The sequence below is a fragment of the Homo sapiens genome, chromosome 3 (assembly GCF_000001405.40).
Source record: "Homo sapiens chromosome 3, GRCh38.p14 Primary Assembly".
NCBI classification, from domain to species: Eukaryota; Metazoa; Chordata; class Mammalia; order Primates; family Hominidae; genus Homo; species Homo sapiens.
In genome coordinates, this window is record NC_000003.12 from 161055912 (window position 1) to 161079610 (window position 23699).

The 23699-nt window shown below is 40.1% G+C and overlaps 1 protein-coding gene across 4 annotated transcripts in view, besides 2 other annotated features; it reads left to right on the forward strand.

The window, feature by feature from the left end:
- Positions 1–22991, forward strand: part of PPM1L (protein phosphatase, Mg2+/Mn2+ dependent 1L) — a 322672-nt gene extending 299681 nt beyond the window's left edge. For all 4 annotated transcript variants that reach the window (NR_134243.2, NM_139245.4, NM_001317912.2 and 1 more), the window contains 2 exons: positions 9492–9653; positions 12900–22991. Coding sequence is in view for 3 of the 4 variants with exons in the window: in NM_139245.4 (NP_640338.2) it covers positions 9492–9653; positions 12900–13246 (509 nt within the window). In the remaining variant the exon portion in view is untranslated. The remainder of the gene's footprint in view (positions 1–9491; positions 9654–12899) is intronic.
- Positions 11632–11761: an enhancer, noted in NCBI's record as "active region_20766". NCBI's record gives its function as "activates an Ori minimal core promoter by ATAC-STARR-seq in GM12878 lymphoblastoid cells {active_cell/tissue: GM12878}" and the evidence as "EXISTENCE:reporter gene assay evidence [ECO:0000049][PMID:35858748]".
- Positions 13785–13834: an enhancer, noted in NCBI's record as "active region_20767". NCBI's record gives its function as "activates an Ori minimal core promoter by ATAC-STARR-seq in GM12878 lymphoblastoid cells {active_cell/tissue: GM12878}" and the evidence as "EXISTENCE:reporter gene assay evidence [ECO:0000049][PMID:35858748]".
- Positions 22992–23699: the final 708 nt, after the last annotated feature.

Sequence of the window (23699 nt, forward strand, 5' to 3'; positions counted from 1 at the left end):
AAGCAAGGCTTATAAACCATGTTAATTCCACACAACTTTCTCTACTCCATCCAGCTTCCAATCCGTACCCCACAACATAAAAAGTGACATCACTCACTTAAGAAAATGTTGCAGTAAGGTGGATTTTCATAAAATAAGGATTCTCAGGACTCCAATTTTTAAATCATACCTGTGTGCCTACAGAAAGGTTGGAGGGGGGCAAGGGAGTGAGGATCTTAATTGGCACCCAAGGCAGAATGTTTGCTCTGAGGAGAAGGATTGAGTGGCACTACTTAAGAGATGCAGCAAGGCAGTGCAGGGAGAGCCTAAAAGCAGCTGAGGCTCTCAATGTCACCCAGACACTGATGGACAGTCATTGATATTTGAATCTGAATCTGAATGTGTACTATCAAAAAGGCTGCTGTCATCATTGTCACCACTATTCCTCTGAGTCCTTTTCCATCTCTACCATCTTACTCTCTGTAACGGGATTGTAAGTTCTATATTTTGTTTTATATCTTGTATACTTTGCTTGATGCAGTAAATATGCTACTGAAACACTGTGAATAAGTAAAACTTCACCTGACTGCAACATTTAAATAACATTAAATTCATCTGAATACAGAAAAATATAAAGAAGAAAACAAAAAGGTCTAAAATCCTATCACCAAGATAGCCCTGTTAATATTTGTTAAAAATATAAGTATGTGTGTGGACATGATTAGAGTGTCTATATTTGCATAGTATAAGGGGTAAATTATACTAGTACAATTAATAGGTATAAATTGAAAAGCACCTACATTTCTTTCGCTCCTACCCCAATCCTTAGCCCCTCCCTCAGCATTATGTCTGTGCAGTGTACAAAGCACTCTTATAAGAATACAGCAATGGGCCGGCACGTTGGCTCACCCCTGTAATCCTAGTACTTTGGGAGGCCGAGGTGGGTAGATCACCTGTGGTCAGGAGTTCAAGACCAACCTGGACAATATGGTGAAACCCCGTCTCTACTAAAAATACAAAAATTAGCCTGGGCATGGTGGCGCACGCCTGTAATCCCAGCTACTTGGGAGGCTGAGGCAGGAGAATCACTTGAACCTAGGAGGCGGAGGTTGCAGTGAGCCGAGATCGCGCCACTGCACTCCAGCCCGGGCAACAAGAGTGAACTCCATCTCAAAAAAATAAAAAAGAATACAGCAATGACTAAGGCATCTCCCTGGCCCTAAAAGGGAGTTTCAGCCTAATGGGTCAAAGAATCATAAATAAGGCATATAAATAGCATGATATGTGATGTACAGTAAGTTGGCAGCTGGCAGCCATGAGATGTGATGCCAACATTACCCTCAGCTGCTACAGGTCTCTGTTGTCATCCCTTCCCTCCTCCGCCTCACCTAACTAGCCACATGACCTTAAAGAAATACCTGAACTGTCTTTACCCATTTTATGCATTTATAAGGTAGATGTGATAATTCCTCCCTGCCTGATCTGATGAGCTTTGAGAATCGAGTGCCAGAATGGGTAAGAAAACACTTCACGACTCATAAAACAGACCAGAAGTGTAAGGTTTCATTGTCAACTTTATTGTTATACAAAGGGGTACTATGAAGAATCATAGTAATCTTGGGCGTTAATTTAATAGAAAGCCCGGGAGCACAGGGTCACCAACAGCCCAGATTTGACCAACAGCTGCCTTTCGCTTGGCTTGTACTGCTTTTTAAAAGAAAAGTTGCTAACGTTTAAAAATCAGGAGAGTTCATACAAAAAAGACTTCCCTTGAAAAATCGGAGGAAACATTCACAGTGGACCTGCATTCCTACGCGGCAGCCATTTTCGTTGCTGAGGAACTGCTTTCCCCTGAGCACGTGTTCTCCCATTTGTCACAAGCCCCCCCGACTCCCTTTTGTAGCCCCAACACTGAAACCTGATGTCAGTTTCACTTGTCATCATGCTTGCCCTTCCTTAGAGCCAGAAAATGTTTTAGAACCCAGGTTCCCATCAAAAGTAGCAGGGTAAATAGCTACTCCAAGAAGGCCAAGATTTTTCTTATACCTTACCTGAAAGCATTGGAGTTTGCAATTTCAATTTAAGATCTGCAGAATATTCAAGCTGAAAGGGGCCTGGAGGTTAATTAATCCAAACGTCTTGTTTTTGAGTTCCAGAGAGGTTAAGTATATAATAAAATGTTTAGCATTATAATAAAATACTTTAGTAGGGTCCATCATTTTCTTTCCTTTTTTTTTTTTTTTTTTTTTTTTGACGCAGAGTCTCACTCTGTCAGCCAGGCTGGAGTGCAGTGGCACGATCTTGGCTCACTGCAACCTCTGTCTCGCGGGCTCAAGCAATTCTCCTGCCTCAGCCTCCGGAGTAACTGGGATTACAGGCATGTGCCACTACACCTGGCTAATTTTTGTATTTTTAGTAGAGATGGGGTTTCACCATGTTGGCCAGGCTGGTCTCGAACTCCTAACCTCAGGTAATCTGCCTGCCTCAGCCTCCGAAAGTGCTGGGATTACAGGCATGAGCCACCACACCCAGCCCATCATTTTCATTATTACTAAAGTAACAATTTTGGATTCCCAGGTTTTTTAGTCATTTAGTCATTCAGTACATATGCATTGAGCAATGTAATCAGGGATAAGACACTTGGGGTTTCATGGAAAAGAAACTTTTTATCATAGTGCTTTGTATACTATACAAACTCATAATGCTGGGGGAGGGGCTGAGGATTGGGGTGGGCGTGAAGGATAAGATATTTGAGGTTTCTGAGTCCCGTTTTCCTCATCTGCTTAGAGGGAGAATACCTGCCCTCCCCACTCTGAATGTTTGAAAATCAATTGCAAGTATGTTTGTGAGCCACTTAGTAGAGTTTATAGTACTGAACAAATCGTTATTACAACTTTGTTATGAATTTAACTGAGAAAGTTTTAAAAGTATTTATAACTAGGAATCTAAAAGATGTCTGAGATACCCCAAGTTACATAACCCTCATTAGGATTTACAGTTTTCTCAAGCTCTACTTGTCAAATGAATTAATTGTCTAATATTATCTAAGCAAAATACTTAGTTAAGCTTAGAATAACTTTTTTGTATACTGTTACTTTGTCTGCATTCCAGAAATTAAATCAGAGGGGAGAATGTTGGTTTACAGGAATAGACTGATACATAATTTGCATTTGTGTGTCTTCCCTAAGGAAAACAATAATTATTAGTCCAACACAAAAACATGCCCATTTTGCTGAAGTACATATTGAGTTCAGAAGTGGACACAGATTGTCCTCATAATGACCACTGTAATGTACCTTTATTGCTTCACAAGGTGCCATGGCTTTGGATGGTGTGGTGAGGATGGAAGCCCTACCCATATGTTATTTGCACTGGACCAGAATCTTGGATGGAGGAAAGAACTTTGGACATATCTGGGCCAGAAGTTCTCTCCACCTACCAGGAGTGAGCATGGGAGCATGAGCTATACATGTACAGGAGGGTCATCGTGTTTTCATCAGGGTGTAAAGTGTATTTTGCTACATCTGATAGCTCTTTTTATGGCAATAGCTGGACAATGGTGTTGTCCATTGTGTACTGAACTGGGCTGACCTGTCAGAGCAAGACTTTAGAAGCTTAGCATTATGTCAGGTCAGGACATTATGTGTGAACGCTTATTCATTCATCTATTAATTTGCTTATTTAGCCTATGTTGGGTGCTTTTAATATTCTAGACATCAGCATTGTAGTGGGAAAATCCAAAACTTCTGATACGGTTTGGATCTGTGTCCCTTCCCAAATCTCATGTCAAATTGTAATCCCCATTGTTGGAGGTGGGGCCTGGTGGGAGGCAACTGGATCCTGGGGGCGGTTTCTCATGAATGATTTGTCACTGTCCTTCTTGGTGCTGTTCTTGTGATAGTGAGTTCTTGTGAGATCTGGTTGTTTAAAAGTGTATTGCACCTCCCCCCACCCACTTCCTTCTGCTCCAGCTATGTGAAGTGCCTCATGCCTCCTTTGCCTCCTGCCATGATTGGAAGCTTCTTGAGGCCTCCCCAGAAGCAGAAGCCACTATGCTTCCAGTACAGCCTCCAGAATCATGAGCCAATTAAACCTCTTTTCTGTATAAATTACCCAGTCTCAGGTATTTCTTTATAGCAGTGTAAGAATGGACTAATATATCTTGTGAAGTTTATATTCTAAAGGGAAAGACTGACACTAAATAAATAAATAGTCTAAATAAATAAGCAAGATATCTACATAATTGTGTGTTGTAAGGGCAATAAACAAAGAGGAAATACAATCCCTGTCAGAAAAGGCCTCTCTGAAGATGTCACATTTGAGCTACAACATCTTCATATGGGTCAGTCAACCAATGTCAAGGACAGGAGAACAAGCCAGGCAGAGAGAACAGCGAGTACAAAAGCCCAAAGATGACAAAAAGGTTGGCATGTATGGGCAACAGGAGGGAGGCCTTGAGCAAGGAAGGGAGTGGTGTGACATGATATTAGACAAATTAGCTAGGGGCCAGGTCATGCAGGACTTGCCACCATTGTTTCTCACCTGGACTACTGAAATAGCCCGGGGGCTAAAATGACAGTGGTTGGGACTGGAGTCAATGCTGTGAGAACAAACTGGAAGGGTTTAAGAGATATTTTAGAGGTAAGAGTAACAGAACTTAATGATGGACTGAATGTCAGGAAAGAGGAAAAGAGAAAAATTAAGGATGATTCTTAGGTTCTGGCTTGAGCAATGGAGTGGATTATGGTGCCATTTTCTGAGGCTTAAAAGTCAAATAACTTGCCAAACCTCACTTAGCTAGGACATTGAAGTCTGGTCCATGTGAATTCGCTTTTTTTTTTTTTTTAAGCTTTTTGGGTTTTTTTTTAAACCCATGAGATAAGGTTATTAGGTTAAATTTCCAAGATCTCTTTCAGATTTGCAATTAAGTTCTCATCTAGATTAAATTGTTAATATGGAAATATCCTGAGGTTCAGAATTAAGTAACATTGTCTGGCCCTGGTATTTTTGATAAATATAGTGCTATGATGGAATAAATATTTTATCTCAGAACTAATAGCCAGAATTTTGCAAGTGTTTTGTCTCAAGCATAAAAAGAAAATGATTTTTTCATTTTCTCTTGGGCATAATGTCTTTTCTGGAGTTTCCCAGCAACAAGCAGTTTGTTCTGTCAAGTAAGATGAGATTGTAAACTATCTGTTATAATCCTGAGCTAAAACTGCAAAGCCCAAACAGTAAGTTTTTTTTGGTGTCCTGGTTTGTTTCAGATCATTCTTAAGCCTCCCACCCCAGTGCTCAGCATTGCTTTGCACGTATTATTTCTCCAGAACCACACAAACCTCACCCAGGATAGGGGCAGGTTTCCTCTGTAGAGACAGGAATGGAGACATTTCAGTAATTCAGAATACCACCTATAACTCATAACCCTGCCATCTGGGGCTCACCCATTTTGGCCAGGTCTAAGATTCTGTTGCTAACATAGGCAGGATAGTCCTGAAAACTTCACCATGAGGTAGATCTTAATTTACCCATAGAAACAGTGGGATTTGTTTGTGACAAAGGCGGGTCATCGATCTTAAGTATGTTCAATAGCATGTGAGTACAGTTGGCTCTTCATGTCCATAGGTTGTACATTTGTGGATTCAACCAACCACAGATCAAAAATATTTTTAAAGCAATAAAAAACAATATAACATCATACAAATTAAAAAACAATATAACAACTATTTACGTAGCATTTACATTATAGATTATAAGTAATCTAGAGATGACTTAAAGTATACAAGAGGATGTACATAGGTTATATGCAAATACTAAGCCATTTTATATAAGGGACTTGGCCATCCGTGGATTTTGCTATCTATAGGGGGTCTAGAACCAATCACCAGCAGATCCCAAGGGACAACTGTGTAGCTAAACAGCCACACTCTAAATCTCTCATCAAATTCAGATATTACAGGGAACAACAACAACAAAAAATTCAACTCAAAAAGTCTCAAACAAGAAAGGCATTTATTGTCTCATTGAACAAGGACAGGGCAGCTCTAGGCTGGCTCAGCAGTTCCCTGATATTCTCCAGGACTCAGGCTCTACTGTTTACCTCTGTGCTCTACCATCCTGCACTTGTTGCCATGACCCTAAGGGATATCCCTTCATAGCTGCAAGATGGCTGCCACACTTCTGGGAAACACATAGGCTAGCACTGGGCCAAATAAACAGTCATTGTCTGTTCTGTGTCTCTTTTAGTGGGGGGGGAAAAAAAAAAGCCTTTCTCAGAAGCCCCCAGCAGACTTTTTTGAGTCCTCGTCCATGGAATGCCCAGTTTCTCCCATCTAGATATACGGGTATTATCCTAAACTTCTCCCCTCATCCTTTATTCTCCTCAGTTTCTATGAGTGATCCATTCTGGTTTTTAAAAACCTGTCACAGGAGCTGGGCACAGTGGCTCACACCTGTAATCCCAGCACTTTAAAAGGCCAGCAGGCGGATCACTTGAGGCCAGGAGTTCAAAACCAGTCTAGGCAATATAGTGAGAACCCATCTCTACAAAATAAAAAATAAGAACCTATCACCTACCCTCTATCCCTATATTTATTACATTAATTCAGATCCTCATTAATTCCACCTGTTCTCACTGCTCCCAATTTGTCTATCTTCTGCATTGCCCCTGGAATCATCTTTTAAAATATGAATCTCATTGTGTCACTATCCTGCTTAAAACCCTTCAGTGATTCTTAATCAAATATGGGACTAAATTTTATTTTATTTTTCTAGCTGCAAGAATGCCTCCTTCTCCCTTTTTTAAAAAGAAATCTTGCGTGGCAGCTGACTTGTTAGCTGTTAACACGTGGAAGCAGAGCTGTCCTAGTTGAAATGCGGCTGGGGAAGGGGCCTTTAACTCAGCCAGCTGGATTCCTCCCCTTCCCTCTCATGGAGGCCCTAAAGCCTTTCCTTGGATCCCCTGGAGTACAGGCAAATGGAAACGCCTACTAGGCAGTTGGTGTAGACCTCAGGAGTGTCAACCAGCCTAACTGCATAGACTTAGAAAGTGTGGAAGCCAAGGTCGGCGACATGCTCACCTAGAAAGTGCAGAGTGAGAAGAGAAGAGAGTCCTATAGAGAGAGGACTCCAAGAGTGATGCTGAAGTAATGCCTACAAGCCATGTAATATCCCATGAAGCAATCTTTCTATTTTACCTTTCAAACTCTAAGACTGTGCCTTATAGGAGAATTTATGCTATGATTGTGTAGGATAATTTAATTCAATCAGATGTTTGGGGACAAAGTGAGGATATGTTGAATACCAAAATTTCAGTTTCCAATATAAAAAAAAAATCAAAAACTGGTAACAACAATTTCTAATTGTGTGGATTGTGCTTTTGCTTAATTTTCATTCTTATAGCTTTTTAAAAATTGTTTTGATAATCCATGAAATTAGTCTTTTTTTTCCCCCAAGGCCTTTTGTATTAGAAATCCTGTGTTAACCAACATTTCATGTGTTTCCATATCTGATCAAGGCATTTTTAGTTAAATAAGCTTAAGAATGGAATTTCAAGCAGAACTATAATAACTGATTATATTATGATAGTTATTTTAATTCTCTCTGCTCTTGATATCAACCTGTGTTTATTCTTTATGTCTATTTAAGAATTCAGTGTTGTTGTTTTTTTTTCTGTTGGTGGGAGTCTAAATTAGTTCAACCATTGTGGAAGACAGTGTGGCAATTCCTCAAGGATCTAGAACCAGAAATACCATTTGACTCAGCAATCCCATTACTGGGTATATACCCAAAGGATTATAAACCATTCTACTATAAAGACACATACATACATATGTTTATTGCAGCACTATTCACAATAGCAAAGACTTGGAACCCATCCAAATGTCCATCAATGATAGACTGGATAAAGAAAATGTGGCACATATACACCACGGAATACTATGCAGCCATAAAAAAGGATGAATTCATGTCCTTTGCAGGGACGTGGATGAAGCTGGAAGCCATCATTCTCAGCAAAGTTACACTGGAACAGAAAACCAAACACCACATGTTCTCACTCGTAAGTGGGAGTTGAACAATGAGAACATATGGGCACAGGGAGGGGAACATCACACACCAGGGTCTGTCAGGGGGTGTGGGGCAAGGGGAGGGAGAGCATTAGGACAAATACCTAATGCATGTAGGGCTTAAAACTTAGATGACAGGTTGATGGGTACAGCAAACCACCATGGCACATGTATACCTATGTAACAAGCCTGCACATTCTGCACGTGTCCCAGAACTTAAAGTAAAATTAAAAAAAAAAAAAAAGAATTCAGTGTTTTTTTTCAAGCCAGCACCATGGCATGCACCTGTAGTCCCAGCTACTCCAGAGGCTGAGGTGGGGGAATTGCTTGAGCCGAGGAATTTGAGGTTTCAGTGAGTTATGATCACAACACTGCTCCCTAGCCTAGATGACAGAGCAAGACCCTATCTCTTAAAAAAAGAAAAAAAAAATCGGTCTTTTTTGTTGTTCCATGAAAACTAAAGAGCCATTTAGATACAGTTGACATTCTTGTTATAGAATATGACCTTAATGAGGAAGGAAACGTTAATGAAGACTAATTAGTGCATAATTTTAACGAGGGAGATATGTTTGAGTCAAGAGCTGAATGGGTTGTGCATTTCAGCAGGTATTTGCATATTGAGTGACACTGTCAAAAAGGAAGAGGTGAACAGAAAGGAGCTGGACAGGGCAGGCTCCAACTAGACCAGACCGTTCAACTCTGTTTGCTTTTATCCATTCCCATGTCAAAAAGGATTTGAGCAGAGCTTGTCCTTTGTGTCTTGTGTGGGCTTCAGGCAAGCACGTCTTCAATCTTGCTTTCTTCTGACTCGAACCACCCTCTCCCTAGGCCTCAGTTCTGTCAACACCAGAGCTTTCTCTGCTTCTGTCTTTATGGTCTGCCTCCATCACACCCTGGAGTGGACCTGTTTCTGGCCACCAGTCTTTGCTGTCAGACTTTGTATAGGCAAGCTCAACCTGTCCTGACATCAGCAGCTTCCTCATGCTCCACATGATTCAGCTGTTGGCATTTCTAGGCCCTCCTAGAAATGAGGAGCCCACCGCACACCCCCATCCTTCCCACTTCCAACTGGGACTTCACAGAAACTCAGCACCAAGCAGAAGCCAAAAGTGTGTATCAGTTGACTGAAACTTCAAACGATTTTGTTTCTCTCCTAATCCTTTTAAATGTGATATGTGTTTAAGAGTAGCAGAGACAAAGTGATTTAGGAAAATTATAATGTTATCCTAGCCTATTTTAGTGACACTCTAACATGGTTAAGAAAATTGACTGTCAGATTTGATCATTGTTGTCGAAGTGAACAGCCATCATTCTCAGAGTGGCTGGAGTCAAATTCTCACCCAGCAGAAGCAATTTTAATGACTGAAGAATCCAGTTACCACAAGAAGCAATGGAACCTGAATGCACTGCTGACCTCCCGCGTTCTCTCTCTCTTCTATTTTTCAGGCACAACGTGTTTGATTGCTCTGCTATCAGATAAAGACCTCACTGTGGCCAACGTGGGTGACTCGCGCGGGGTCCTGTGTGACAAAGATGGGAACGCTATTCCTTTGTCTCATGATCACAAGCCTTACCAGTTGAAGGAAAGAAAGAGGATAAAGAGAGCAGGTGAGCTTGTGAACACCTCCAAGAAATGTCTGCTGTCTTGCTGGTGAACAAGGCGGCTTGCTTGGAGAGCTCCTGGATAAAATGTCCAGTTATGCAGTATTAGAGAGGCTGCTACTGAGGTAACTGAGATTGACTTTGTAACATTACCTATCAAATAAATGGCCACTAAATCTGTCTTCCTTCATAGCCAAAGATTCCAAAAGAACTAAAAAGCCCATTTCCAGTTTAAAGGCTAATAAGATCTTTGGGCCCCGGGTTCTCACTTTTCTCTAGCCTGTTGCTATATGCTGCTTCCCTCGGAGCCACAACTAACTACTAATCATTCCTAAAAAGACCTTGTTTCTGATACCTCTGTGCCTTTGCAAGTGCTGTTCTGGGTCACAATTACTTGTCCCATAAAACTCAGTTTAAGGTGTTCTTTTGGAAGCTTTCCATGTCACACTGTGGCAAGGGCCTTCCCATTCTGGGGTGGATGCCCCTCTGCCTTTCCCCAGCATCCTATGTGGACGTCTTGGGTCACCTTTTACAATACATGGACATACCTGGCTCTCCTATTTGCCTTGCCTTCCTGTCACCTCTTTGAAGACAGGAACTTGGTTTTGTTCATCTCTATGCCTTGAGCATTTGGCTTAGTGCCTGGTATAAGTAAATATTTCAGAGCAAGGTTGGGGGTAGAGGGGTCCCTTATTCATTCATTCATTGGTTTATTCAATATTTTAGGAGCTGGGGATAAAACAAAACCCCATTCTCAAGCTTTCATGAAACTTACATTCTGAAATTGGCATGGGGGTGAGGAATGGAGTAAATAGACATTAACAAAAAAAAATAGTAAAAGTAAGTCATTCATATAGTATATTAGAAGTTGATAACTGCTATGGAAAGACATGAAGCAGGTAAGGGGAGTGTCAGGGAGTTGCAGTTTTAAGTAGTGTGGCCTGTGTGGGCCTTGCTAGAGTGATGTTTGGACAAAGACTCGGAGGATAATTATCAGTTGATTATTACATTTTCATAATTCGATTTCAGAGAATACCTTTATACCTATGTAAGGGAAGAATTCTGTAACTTTTCAGACTGAGAGCTGCAGGATGTATGCTCTTCATGATGTGCCAGGCAGCAGGCCAGCTGTCAGAGGGGAGCAAGCGGGGTGCTCATGTACCCTAGTATCTGACCAGGATGGGCCCTTGCTGTCTGGGTTAATCTGCACATTGACTCTCGATCTCTACAGGTCAGCTTCTGCCCAGTGAATGAACTGAATGAACCTAATCAACATTTTAGTTTTCACAGTAGGGAACCATACTGTTAAGTCAAAATGTGTTGAATTTTATTACAATCTCCTGCTTCAGTGACTGCTTGAGTTGCAAAATAGTTTTTAATGAAAGCATTGGTCAGGTTTTCTGTTGATGGGATGAAACGAATGATATTTTAGGAGCATCTATCAAGCTTTGATGACCTCCAGGCAGTAGGAGCAAAGTTCTCTGGCTTCCTACTTGTAAAACACCATCTGCCTGTAGGAGTCTGCTGTGAAATTAAGACACAGTTAGCTCAGTCTTGCATCAGCATCAGGCAAGGATGTGTACACAATACACCTGCAAATGTCATCTTACCATTCAGTGCTCTCTTTTGAAATATCATGGCCATTTTATGCTTCCTCTTCTTCCCTGTCATACCCACTACCCACGCCTGCACCCTATGTTGATTCTTTGTAGAAGCAAATTTGCACACCGTCTCCAAGGAGGTTAATCTAACCTCTCTGTTCTTTTACATAATTTGATCAATTGCATATTTTACACAAGGCTTAAGAAACAGTGATTGGTTTTACCATCTTCATGTGTGTTTTCTCTGGCCTCAGCCTCTTTTCAGGACATCTTTCCCCCTCCTGCTTAGCATGACAGTAAGGTCCAGCCAGTCTGGGCCAAATACATGTCTTTCTGTCGCCACTCCTTATACTGTTTCCAACAACAACATTAGCTGTCATTTATTGTGTGCTTATCCTGTGCTGGCAGCAAAGCCTAGCACTTTACACATACACTTTCTCTTTGCCTGTCTTAAGAGGTTGATAATATTATTCTCATTTTGTAGCCAACAAACTGGAACTTCACAGAGGCTTATGTGCCCAAGCACACACAGCTAGTGAATGGTGAGACCACAGCTGAAACCCAGGACTGGGTTTTATGCTCTTGCCTACTAGACCATGCTTCCTGGAATGTCCTCCTACATATCCTGCCCATAGATGTTTCACCCATCGCTCAAAGCCCACCTTTAATGTTCATTCTACCCTCATGATCAGAACTGGAAATCATCCCTCCCTTCTCCATCTGCCTACAGCATTTAGCAGACACTGGTCTCGCCCTGAAGAATACCACTTTGTGCTTATTGTATTTAATACTTTTTGTGGCTTAATTCTCCTGCCAGGCTGTCTACTTTTTTAAAGAAAGGTCTGGATCTTGTATAACTTCATATCCTGCACATTGCCTTCCATGGAGTAGGTATTTAGTAAATATCTGACAAATATGTGGATGAAGAAAAAAATAATAGATACAATTGTTAAGTGCATATTATGTTCAGGGACTGTGCCAAATGACTTATGTGGAATAAGACCTTCATTTCTCAACAACCCAATAAAATAGATACTGTCTCTATTTTGTAGCCAGGGAGACTGAGGATCAGAGAAAGAGTTTCTCATCCAAAGTGAGACATGGTTAGAAGAGACAGAGCCAGGAATCACATTCAAGTAGTCTGACCTGAGCCTTTAATGACTATACTAGTGTGTGCTTTTTCTTAATCTTGATCCTATTTGGGGGGACAGAGCTGTTTTGAGACCTATATAGGCACACTTATGAGTGGCCTCAGGCCAAATGATATATACGGTGCCTGTTCACCTGCCTTTCAGCATTCCTTTGCCACTCTCCTCAAATCCCTACCCTCATGCTCTCTACTGTCAATCACTGAGCCACCACGGTGTTAAGTTAAAAACCAATGCCCTCCCCCATATGTATCCGCCACCTTCAGTACTCTTATTGATATATTATTGAAATCCTTCAAGATGCCAGGATGAGGGTATGAGGATCAACTGGTAGAGTATAAAACCCCAGGCCATGCAGTGGGTCCCAGGAGTGATGGGGTTAAGGGGAGTGCCCACAGCCCAGTTCACATGAAGTAGGTCACCCTGTTGCGCACGTACCTAGACTATCCCAGGTAAGTGAGATATCAGCTGGTCAAACTAATGGGCTCATCCTGTCTTTCTAGGTGGTTTCATCAGTTTCAATGGCTCCTGGAGGGTCCAGGGAATCCTGGCCATGTCTCGGTCCCTGGGGGATTATCCGCTGAAAAATCTCAACGTGGTCATCCCAGACCCAGACATCCTGACCTTTGACCTGGACAAGCTTCAGCCTGAGTTCATGATCTTGGCATCAGATGGTCTCTGGGATGCTTTCAGCAATGAAGAAGCAGTTCGATTCATCAAGGAGCGCTTGGATGAACCTCACTTTGGGGCCAAGAGCATAGTTTTACAGTCATTTTACAGAGGCTGCCCTGACAATATAACAGTCATGGTGGTGAAGTTCAGAAATAGCAGCAAAACAGAAGAGCAGTGAACCCTTCAGGGGTCTCAGCTGCCTTAGACTAAAGGACTTTCAACACACTGGTCTCTTTTAATTTAGTGAAAAGTGTGGGAGTTGTAATTAGGATCATCCACCCCAGACATGGAATCCCCCCTCCCTGGTGGTCTTAGGTCTATAATCAGTGACGAACAGAGGGTGCCCTTGGCCAATGTAGTTAAGAAACTGGAAAATGGTTTCTTCATGTTTTCCCAACTCTTTCATCCAGTGTCCAAAATATATAAGTAAATAGCTGTAGAGTCACATATATGAAGTGAATAGCATATGTGTCATTTAGTCTCCCTGAAGATTCTTTTCAAGATCCTGTTCAGGGTCCTCCAGGCATCAGCTGTTGTGTCCTCTCTTTGTAACAGTGGACAGGACAGACCACCCAGTGCTGCAGGAGACAGGCCACTGCGTCACCTGTGAGTGGTCAGGGGCTGATGTGGCAACACCCTCTGCCAAGAGACAGAGCTGTCCTGAGAATGCTTTGTCCTTCTGAGCCCATGTTTTCTGCTCAGTAGCAGCTTGGAAGCAGATTTGGAATGGTTTACTATTTTGGCTGCTCTTGGGGACTGCGAGAAGCAGAGAGAATGAGAGACCAGTGGCAACTGCCTGCACAGCAGAGATAACCCTCTTCCCTTGCTTCCTTTAATAGTTAAATAGACTTTGTATACCACCTGACCAGCCTTTGTGCATTTATCCTAATCATGCATGACCGTTAACCTTTTGCTTAGTCCTTACCATATGTAATAGGCAGCTGTTAAATTCACCAACAGATACCCTGATTTTTCATCTTACGTGACCAAGAAACCACGTTAGGGGAAATGAAAAAAGCAAGCCACAATACCATGATTCCTTCCATTTTCAACAGTAGATGAAGGAAATGATACTGAATGAGTCACAGTGTTCCCTGGCAAGTAAGCTGTTTGCATTGAGAAAGGAGTGAGCTGGTGAGGTTACCACCCTGAATTGAGCTCCAGCTGCCAGTTTTTGTGTTTTTCCTTGCCCCTTTCCAAGTGGTTTTCAAGTGTCAGGCAGTGTTCTGAGAAGCAGCAGCCTATAACTGTATGTGTGTTCCTTGAAGCCAGGTGCAGAGTTCCCAGCTACTGCAGCTTGGGATTTGGTGGGAAACTACTGGGATAAGCTTCTCCTTGACAATGGAAAGGCAGCAGTCTTCAACATTTGGTTGCAAATCTCCATCCACATCAGGGAGCTTTCCCCAGGCAAATACAAACCGCCCCGTGGCCTGCAGGCCTGCAGGGGAGGCAGCAAAGGGACCTGGCAGTTGCAACACAGTAAGTCAGGAATTCAAGCGTGAACCCATATTGATAAGTGGGCCAGAATTATTTAGGGGCCTGGCTTGCTGCTCTCCATTTCCTGTATCGCTAATTTATCATTTTTCCAACCTTGGTATTTTATATTATTTAGAGAAAATGCTGGGTCACTCTCTTTGCCTAAGGTGACTCAAACAGCCAAACGAAACTTCCGTTGCCTCCCAGCCCTCTGTATCCACCTGGTTTTGTTCTTTCCCTGTGAGCATTTGTGGTTATAGCTTCCCATATGCCACATTCACCGGCCACCTCCTCGCCGTGGAACCCTGCCCTCTCCCCTCCTGCTGCTGTAGAGTTTTCCCAAAGCAGTGTCCAGGAGAGAATTTGAGAGAGTGAAGAAATTGCCTTGTAGATGTGGAGGGCTGCAATCTGTCTTGATTTCTCCAAGCACTTAACTTTCTTTGACTGCACTGAGAATTGCTAATGATTTCCCATGAGATTTGCTTACTTTTGTATACTGTATTTTCCAGCATTACAGAACCTTGGTTATTGTTTTTTAGCCATAGAATCTTCTAGTAAAAAATATCTGCCACCATTTTAGATTTAAGCATTTGCCTATGGGGAGACACTGAATATGTGGATGTGTGTATTAATATTTGGGGTGGGGACAGGGAAGGGAATGTGGAAAACAAATGCTGGCTGTGAGCAGTGCTGAGATGGCCAGGCCAGGCGGCTGAGTTTGCTTGGAAATTCAGGACATTCTGACTCCTAAGAGTTGCCCCCACCCACCATCAAACTGAAATCAGCACCAATGGTGTCAGCACTTTACAGCCCATAGCCAACTTTCTTTATTTTTAACGTAGCACAAAAATGTATAATAGCAAGGAAAAGACATTTTTAAATTCCGGTTATTTTTATTGTCTAAAATGAAAGCAACAGTGTTTTGATAAAGATGAAAAAGAAAAGCTACTAAATTAGTAAATCAGTGGTTACGTGCCCTGCAGAATTTCTTAACAGATGGTGCTGAGTGCACGAGTTACATAACTTTCTCTCTAATTGAGGTTCACAAGGCGTCTTCTAAATTTTGCTTTGTACAATTAATTCATTTCTGATGTTAACCAAATAGAGTGTATATATCCTACTCCCATTACTGCCTCTTTCCCCCCTACTATGGCTTGTAGATTTTCAAAAGATAGAAGTTCTAGGCAAAACTGTAGCAGTTTCATTAATAGTTGTTAGGATAGTTATATCTAAAATCAGAGTATTTTGTTCCCTTCCTTCTGGAGCTCTCTCTCCCTAGCCCTTTTCCAGCTGTTGGGGATGTGCAGACATCACTCCTGGGGGTGCCCTATGGTACACTGGCTGCTCCCCAGGGACCTGGGAATGCTGAATCTAGCCATTAGGGAAATTGATTTGAGATGTTTGCATGTGAAGCTTCCCTAAGCAGCACTGCCAAAGCTTTGGAATTGTCACCCAAGGCTTCCTAGACTCCCTAGCTAGCTCGAGTTCGAATTGCCAATAGTCCCCATGGTGCCAAATTTTGGGATGGTTTTACAGTCTTTTAGAAATGAAGACAGGAATGGCCATGTGCTTCTGAGACCCCAGCACGATGCCAGGCCCAGGTCTCCATTAATGCAGTGCTCTGCTGCTGCTCCACTGGCAATTTGTACTCTTAACATAGGTTGGGGGAGGGACAGCTAGGGAAATTTTTTTTAATTAATTGTATCTAAAATTCTTTCATCATAGGAATAAACAACACATATAGAAAGCTCCAAAGCTGTTCCCAAGACCTGTATTATTTATTTTATATGACCAACTTGCCCCAAGGCAATTAACTCTGAATTGCTGTTCTAATGTGACATATCTGTGTACATATGTACATAGTACTGGTAACCAGTGGCTGCATTTTATTCCTTGCTGTGGACTGAGGTATTGGCTTCTTGAATCTTGTATATGTCATAAGAATATTATACAGAGAGTGTTATAGTGAAGGATGTAAGCTGGATAATTTAAAACAGACCTTATTTCATACAAGTGTAATTATTACATCATTTTGGGTAAATGGCAAACAGGATTGCATGAGAGTGATGGCATCATCATTTCAATTGAATCTGAAGTGATTCTAGGAAATTGATTCCACTGTTGGATTCTAGGAAATTGAGTCCACTGTTTTCCTTTGCGTTTAATTTCCTTTGTGTTTAATTTGACCACAGAAACTTTTTTGAGTAGCACCTAGTAACATTGCAAGGAACTTGTGTATCAAGGTGTATCTTGATTATCCTGATTTTTTTTGTTCTCTAAGTTGTTGCCAGATCTCTCTTGCAACTGTGTCAATGAAAGGTCTGTGTTTAGAAAAGGCAGCATATCATTGTATATTTGAAACTATAGGAATATATACTTTGTATAAAACTTTTCCAATGATTTCAGAAATTCTTTTTTCCTCCTTTTGACCCACAACTAGACTGTTCATACCCTAATAGTTCCCCAAAATTGCCTTAGCATGTCACACCAGCATTTGTCATCCAGCTCTGGAGAAATGACATGACTGTTAGATACTATGCCTGTTTAATTGCCTCTGGATTAAGTCATTGATAGCTAGACTTTTGAGCTAGTTAGCTGTAGAAATAATAGAATCCAGTGTTTCCCAAAGTGTGTTCCAAAGAACACAAGTTCCAAAGATGCTCTTCTAAATATAGGATTCTAGGATGAAATAAGTTTGGAAAACACATACCATCTTAGAAAGTTAGTGAACATGAGCACATCAAAGGCTCTAATTTAAATGTCCTGTGAGGAGAGAAAAACACAACAAATATCTACTGTCAGTTAGCCCAGTGTTTTCCAGATTAATTTGACCACAGAAACTTTTTTGAGTGGCACCTAGTAACACTGCAAGGAACTTGTGTTCTAAAGAACACCCTTTGGGAAATTCTGGTATATTGAAATATTGCTGTGTTTTCATTCACGATGACTCTTAGTAGCAGTACAATTTGCAACTTAGAAGCATGAGCCTTTCATATATGAAGCTGACTTGTTAATAAAAGCAGTGTTAAGAAGTAGTATGACTTAATATGACCAACAGCAGCCTCATATTGATAGCAGAACAATCCTACTTAAAGCTCTAAACATCATCCCCCCCTTTTTTTTTTTAACGGAATCTCGCTCTGTCACCCAGGCTGGAATGCCGTGGCGCAATGTCAGGTCACTGCAAGCTCCGCCTCCCAGGTTCACACCATTCTCCTGCCTCAGCCTCCTGAGCAGCTGGGACTACAGGCGGCCTCCACCACACCTGGCTAATTTTTTGTATTTTTAGTAGAGACGGGGTTTCACCATGTTAGCCAGGATGGTCTTGATATCCTGACCTTGTAATCCACCAGCCTTGGCCTCCCAAAGTGCTGGGATTACAGGTGTGAGCCACTGCACCCGGCCATCCCTTTCTTTTATATGAATAATGAGCAAGAGCCCTGCCATAGCTAAATATGTCTCAAATTCATTCCAAGATCTTTCCATTGCTTTTTTGCAGTTACCTTTGCTTTTTGGGTTGAATCAAAATGAATATTTTTATATTTCATTACTATATGATATTTAAAAATATACAGAAAATCACAGAAAAGGAAAAACAGAAATTTGATTTTAATTCACTTTTGAAATTTTAACGATTTTTAAAACTAATGATCTGTTATATAATAACTGAAATGTAAACTATTAACAGTTATTTACTTTCTTTCCTTTATTGTCCTCTCTGGATTCAGTGAAATAATTTGAAATCAATTAGAGCTCATACCTTCTAAAACTCCTGTCCCATATCATCCCACCTTTCATGTTTTATGTACATAGTTAAGTTTGGCATGTTATCTCTTGCCTAAAATGTGAGGCCTTCCTGTAGTTCCACAGTAGTTACTCTTGGCTGCAGAAATAGGTTTGGGAAGCTATGAGAGATTACCCCAAAGTCATGGATGAAACAAATCTAGTCGAAAACATGGTACAGAGTGAATTAAGGCAAAAGTCATTAACTTAAAATTACATCCAATATTTAGGAATAGCTCATCCTCTGCACATTATCCAAAATATTTTAAAAAACTAAAAGTAAGATCTCTTAGGCTAGGTGGCGGATTGCAAAGGGCAGGGGGCAGTTGATACCATGAAGCTTCCAATAGATGCATTTCTAAACATTTTTTCTAATATGTAAATTTGCTGATCCTTAGTAATGTTAATGCTTTGTCTATTTGTTATTTTTACCACTGTTGAACAGCAAACTGTTGAGGCTAGGGTTGATTATTGATAATTTTTATGTGTTTAGTAATAACCACAGCATCATACGTACAACTGCTTTAATAAATCCAAGTTAAGGACTTTGAGGAGAGCATGTAGCAAGTATTCATTTTAACAAATCATCACAGACAGTTTCCCTGTTCAAAGCTCCACCAAAAAGCAAGCATGCAGCAAAGGCATAGACTGTATTTAGAGATGTGGTTTCATTTATTCTTGAAGTCCTATAACCTTGCATTATTTAAACACAAAATCCCACCTAACATTTGCCAAATCCAAGTTAATCTCAAAAACCTCCGAGGACATTGAGCACAAGCAGATTACTGTAAGGGCACTGGTGGCAGATTGTGGTGGAGAGAGGGCTGAGTGACCCAGAGCAAAGCCTGCCCGGGTTACTCGCTGCCACTTCAGGAGAGGGATTGTATCAGCTCTCATTACCTTTTGTCATGAGGCAGTTCATAAATTAAATATGATATCATGCATTATCTCAAAATATTTCTATATTAATTAGATAATTCACGATGTAAAACGTGTTCATGCAGAAGCAAAGGCGGATGTAATAGTCAAGTATCAGGGAAAAACCCCTTTAGGATACCCAGACATTAAAAATGTAAAAAGTAGCTTATAAGAAATGTGGATTATCAGATTTTTACTATATATAGGTTGTGTTTAATAGTAATTTCTGACACCTGCACATAGATGAAGAAAAGGCAGTTGTTACCACTTTTCACCATTCAAAAAATGGGCTTGTCTCTTAGAGTATTGGTTAATGCTTTGCTTATTTGTTAATGAAGACAGCATTTTAATTTTAAAGCTTCCTTTTGTAGGACTGATGGCACGGGCAGAATCACATTTAAGAAAAATGGTTTGGAACACTTTTTAATAAAAAATTGTAAAATCAGTTTCCAGTGTGGTCAAAATTAGAATGTAAAGGAAAGCATTTTTAAGAAAATACAGAAGCCCAAATCAAGGGAGAGTAATATAAAAGGAAATATTTTAAATTAAGAAAAGGAGGTGTTATAGTTTATTACATCATGAATTATGCTTTCTGTACTTACGCTCTTAGTGAAGGAGATAACATTGAAGTGAGAAAATGAACATTCTCAGTTATTTGCGAAGTTAGTAAAATTGCAGTCCCTATTCCATTTTTTTCTGATGAAAATGGATACATGAGATCTCATTTATTGCTCTCCTCAACACCTTTACTGTCCCAGATTCCATTCACGTTCCAAATCGTGGACAGTAAAACTGAAGTCAGATAAACACAGTCACAGGTACAACTGGGAGCGAGTTTTAACATAGTGGTAATTTTGCAAATGCCAACATGAATACTAGTGAGTACTCAATTTACGACAGACAATTTCACAAAAACCAACCACAGAGTGATTTGATATTCTTGCTTCTTAGAGAGTTTTCTAATCCATATAATGCAATGGGTCAGGTTGCTCATATGATTAAAAAAATTAATCCTGTAGAAATGATGTATTAGACATCTCTAACCCAAGAAAAAGATGTCTTTTGTATAACTTTTAAATTCCCATTTGTCTATCTTAGGACAAATGATGACTTCTTCGTGTAGTAATGAAAACGTCTAAATCCTGCTCTGTGGAGAAAAGCTAGAACCATGGGACATTAAGCAAGAATACTCCTCTGATTTAGGCTCCCAGACTACAACTAACAGTCTTTATGTATTTATCATCTTGGTTATTGTTTTATCTCAAGCATATACAGTGTGCAGAAAGTAGAATAATGAATAAAATATGACCATGGAGAAAACCCATAACTTTTGCTTCTATTATAGAAAGCAGTGTTTGTTCTTTTTAATTTATTACATGTTCACATTGAAACATTAACATCTACAATATTGTCTTTCAGTTTACTCTTCAATTACTAAAGCAAATGATTTTGATTTATAGCACTTACACAACTGCAGTTCAGGTCACAGAATTGAAATCTATTTGATAATGTCTCAGCATTCTCATGGGCAGCCAGGAAAAAAAAAAAGAGAGAGAAAGACAAATAGAAATTTTAGTGGGTTCAGATAAATGATTATTCTGACAAACCTGGAAAATAGTAATTAAACAGTTCATTCCAAAAGACCCCAATGTAAACTCTGCTCACATACATAATTTGTATAAGGAAAATGTATGAGTTTTTTTCTTAAAAATAAATAGAAGCATCATTGCATTTATAACAGATTGATCAATCTTATGAACAGATTACATTGGGAAAGTCACTATTATTGCTGTGTGTTTGTATATTTTATTCTTTCCTTTTTTGTGTGAGCATCTACTATGTGCCAGGCAGTGACTGTGTCTGAGTGAATGTATCCATGGTGAGCACTCAGGCGCCATCACTGCCTTCTTGGGGCTTACACCCTATTGGGGTGTCAGAGATATTATAACACTCAATATTGACCCAATGGGATGAAAATTGTTATCTTCATGATTTCTTCCAATGGGCTTAGATTTGTTGGGACAGGGCAGAATTAGAATAATTATTTCTCACATATAAGAGTAAGTGATATGAGATTGGGAATTTCTTGCCAACACTCAAGCAAACTGCAGAAGATAATTACTCCATTTTACTAGCTCACCTAGTTTCTGAAGGATGGGGTGGGGAGTGAGACATGGAGCCTCTGGGGACAAGGATAGGGGGGTGGGACTGTCCCAGTGGAGGGTGCCACTGGAAGCCTCCACCCAAGTGGGCCAGCAGCTGTGCAAGGGTGCAGCAGTAGGCTGGTGAAAGCCAGGTTGTCCAGATCTTTCTAGGGGAAGAGAAGGATTATAGAAAAGGAGAAAAGGGAGGAGCAAGAACATCTCTCCATGGCCTATTTTTATTTTTGTTCCCAAGAGACTAGTGTAATAACCTTATGCCCCCAAAGACAGCCCAGAACTGAGTATCTTCAGTGTTCCTGAGTGTAAATCAGTGAATCTGTTATATAGAAAGTTAACATTTCAGGAGCACAATTATTTCCTGATTTCAAATATGAACAGAAGACTAAATGTCATTTTTTTAAATCATAAATTTGGTATCCATAGTTACTTTACACATTCCAGAGTCTAAGCATGGAATTTAAGTTTTGTATTTTGAACAAAAATAGCAACATCTGTTTTCTGTATGGCAAAGAAAAACTAAATCCCAGACTTTTATTTTTAACCACAGAAACCATCACTTCTTTCTAAATTATTTGCTTGCCTGCTCATTTCCCCTAAACATCTCTGTTTATGCCAATGGCTTTTTAAATCCAAATAATACTAGTTATTGCCAAATTGCATTAGAATCCTATTGAATTAGAATAATTCATATACTTCATATACTAGGCAGTAAATGGTTAGAGACGGTAAAGATCTGATTGTGATCAAAAGTAGGGTTTTTGTTTTGTTTTTAATCATGAGCACATATAAAAGGAAATTCAAATGAAACCAAGCCAATTTCTGATTTAGTAAGATTAAAACCATAGATGGAGCTCAGTTATTAAGGATGGAAAGGAGGAAAGCACAGAGTGAGGAGAGAAAAAGGGGAAGGAAAAAAAGTAGTGTTTTTTTGGGGAACAGTATAATGTCTCAGAAGTTCTTCTCTCTTATCCTGCTGATGTTGAGACAGTGGCTTTGTATAAGCTTTTATTTATACCTATTTCAACATCATGAAAATTTTTCCATCAGCATTTTCTTGCAACTTTAAAAATCACAAGGGATTATTTGTTTATAAAGAGATACAGGATCTATAATTTATTGGCAATACTTTATTTTAGGAATCTTCAAATTGTACTTAATAAATAAATCACAGGTCAAAATGACTGTAAAATCAATCAGGCTTTCTCGTAAGTTATTTCCTGAAAACCATCCATGATAAATACAACAAGGCTTGGCGAAACCTCATTACTCTTGGAAGTCTTCAGAGGTTATTATACCTACTGATCTGTATTTGTCTCTAAGAGACATTTGAAACACAGTTACAATGTCAATTTGGTGTAACATTACCTGTAGTAGAGCTCAGAGTATATGGCAGTGCACGGTCACTCAAGATGCATGGCGTGTCATTTGGGTCGCTTTGATGGGTGCTCGGGTAGAATTAGCCTTGTAGAGACTAATGTGTTCATGCTATCTCTGATCCTGTGGTGTTGTATAAAAATGAACAGCTAAAAATTTACCCATGACAAGATTAAAGCAAAAATAAACACAAAGTTGTTAGACTTTAAACATGAGACTGCTGGTATTCTTTTAAGTTAAACTCATTTTCCATTCTAACATCTGTTCTTGAATTTTATAATTTCTCTATGCTTTTGAGTTGGAGTAGCTTGAGCTAGGGTTCTATGTGGAAAGCAAAGAAACAATTCATGGGTAGAGGATAAGACCAAAGCCTAACAGAAGCAAGAGGCAGGAGGTTTTGAGACTTTGGTGCTTTCATTTGGAATGGGAATAAGCCTGGCTCTGGTTCAAAACAAGGCAATTTATAAACATATATACAATGTATGCAACAAAAAATGTTTATTGTAAACCTAACACAACTTTTACCCAGCTTTATAGTAACACATCGACAAAGTTTATATAGTAATTACTATAAGGTAACAAGGGTTACATTATACACAGATGTAGGCTCCAGCAACACAGCATGATGCACCTCTGAGAAAAGTGTTCAGAACAGAATATCCATCTGCAAAGGTTTTCACTCAATGCAGGAAGAAATACTGTAAAATTTGGAGACAGAATGAAATAGAGGTAAACTCTCTCCAGGATTCTAGACTCTGAAGAGTGGGTAGTACTCATGGCTTAGGCCATATTGTAGTAACACGGTGACTTGGACTAACCATGTAGATGGAGTTCGTGGATTAGACAATTCTCAGAATTTTCTAGAAAAAGTTGGGGCCAGACATAGTGGCTCTCACCTGTAATACCTATACTTTGGGA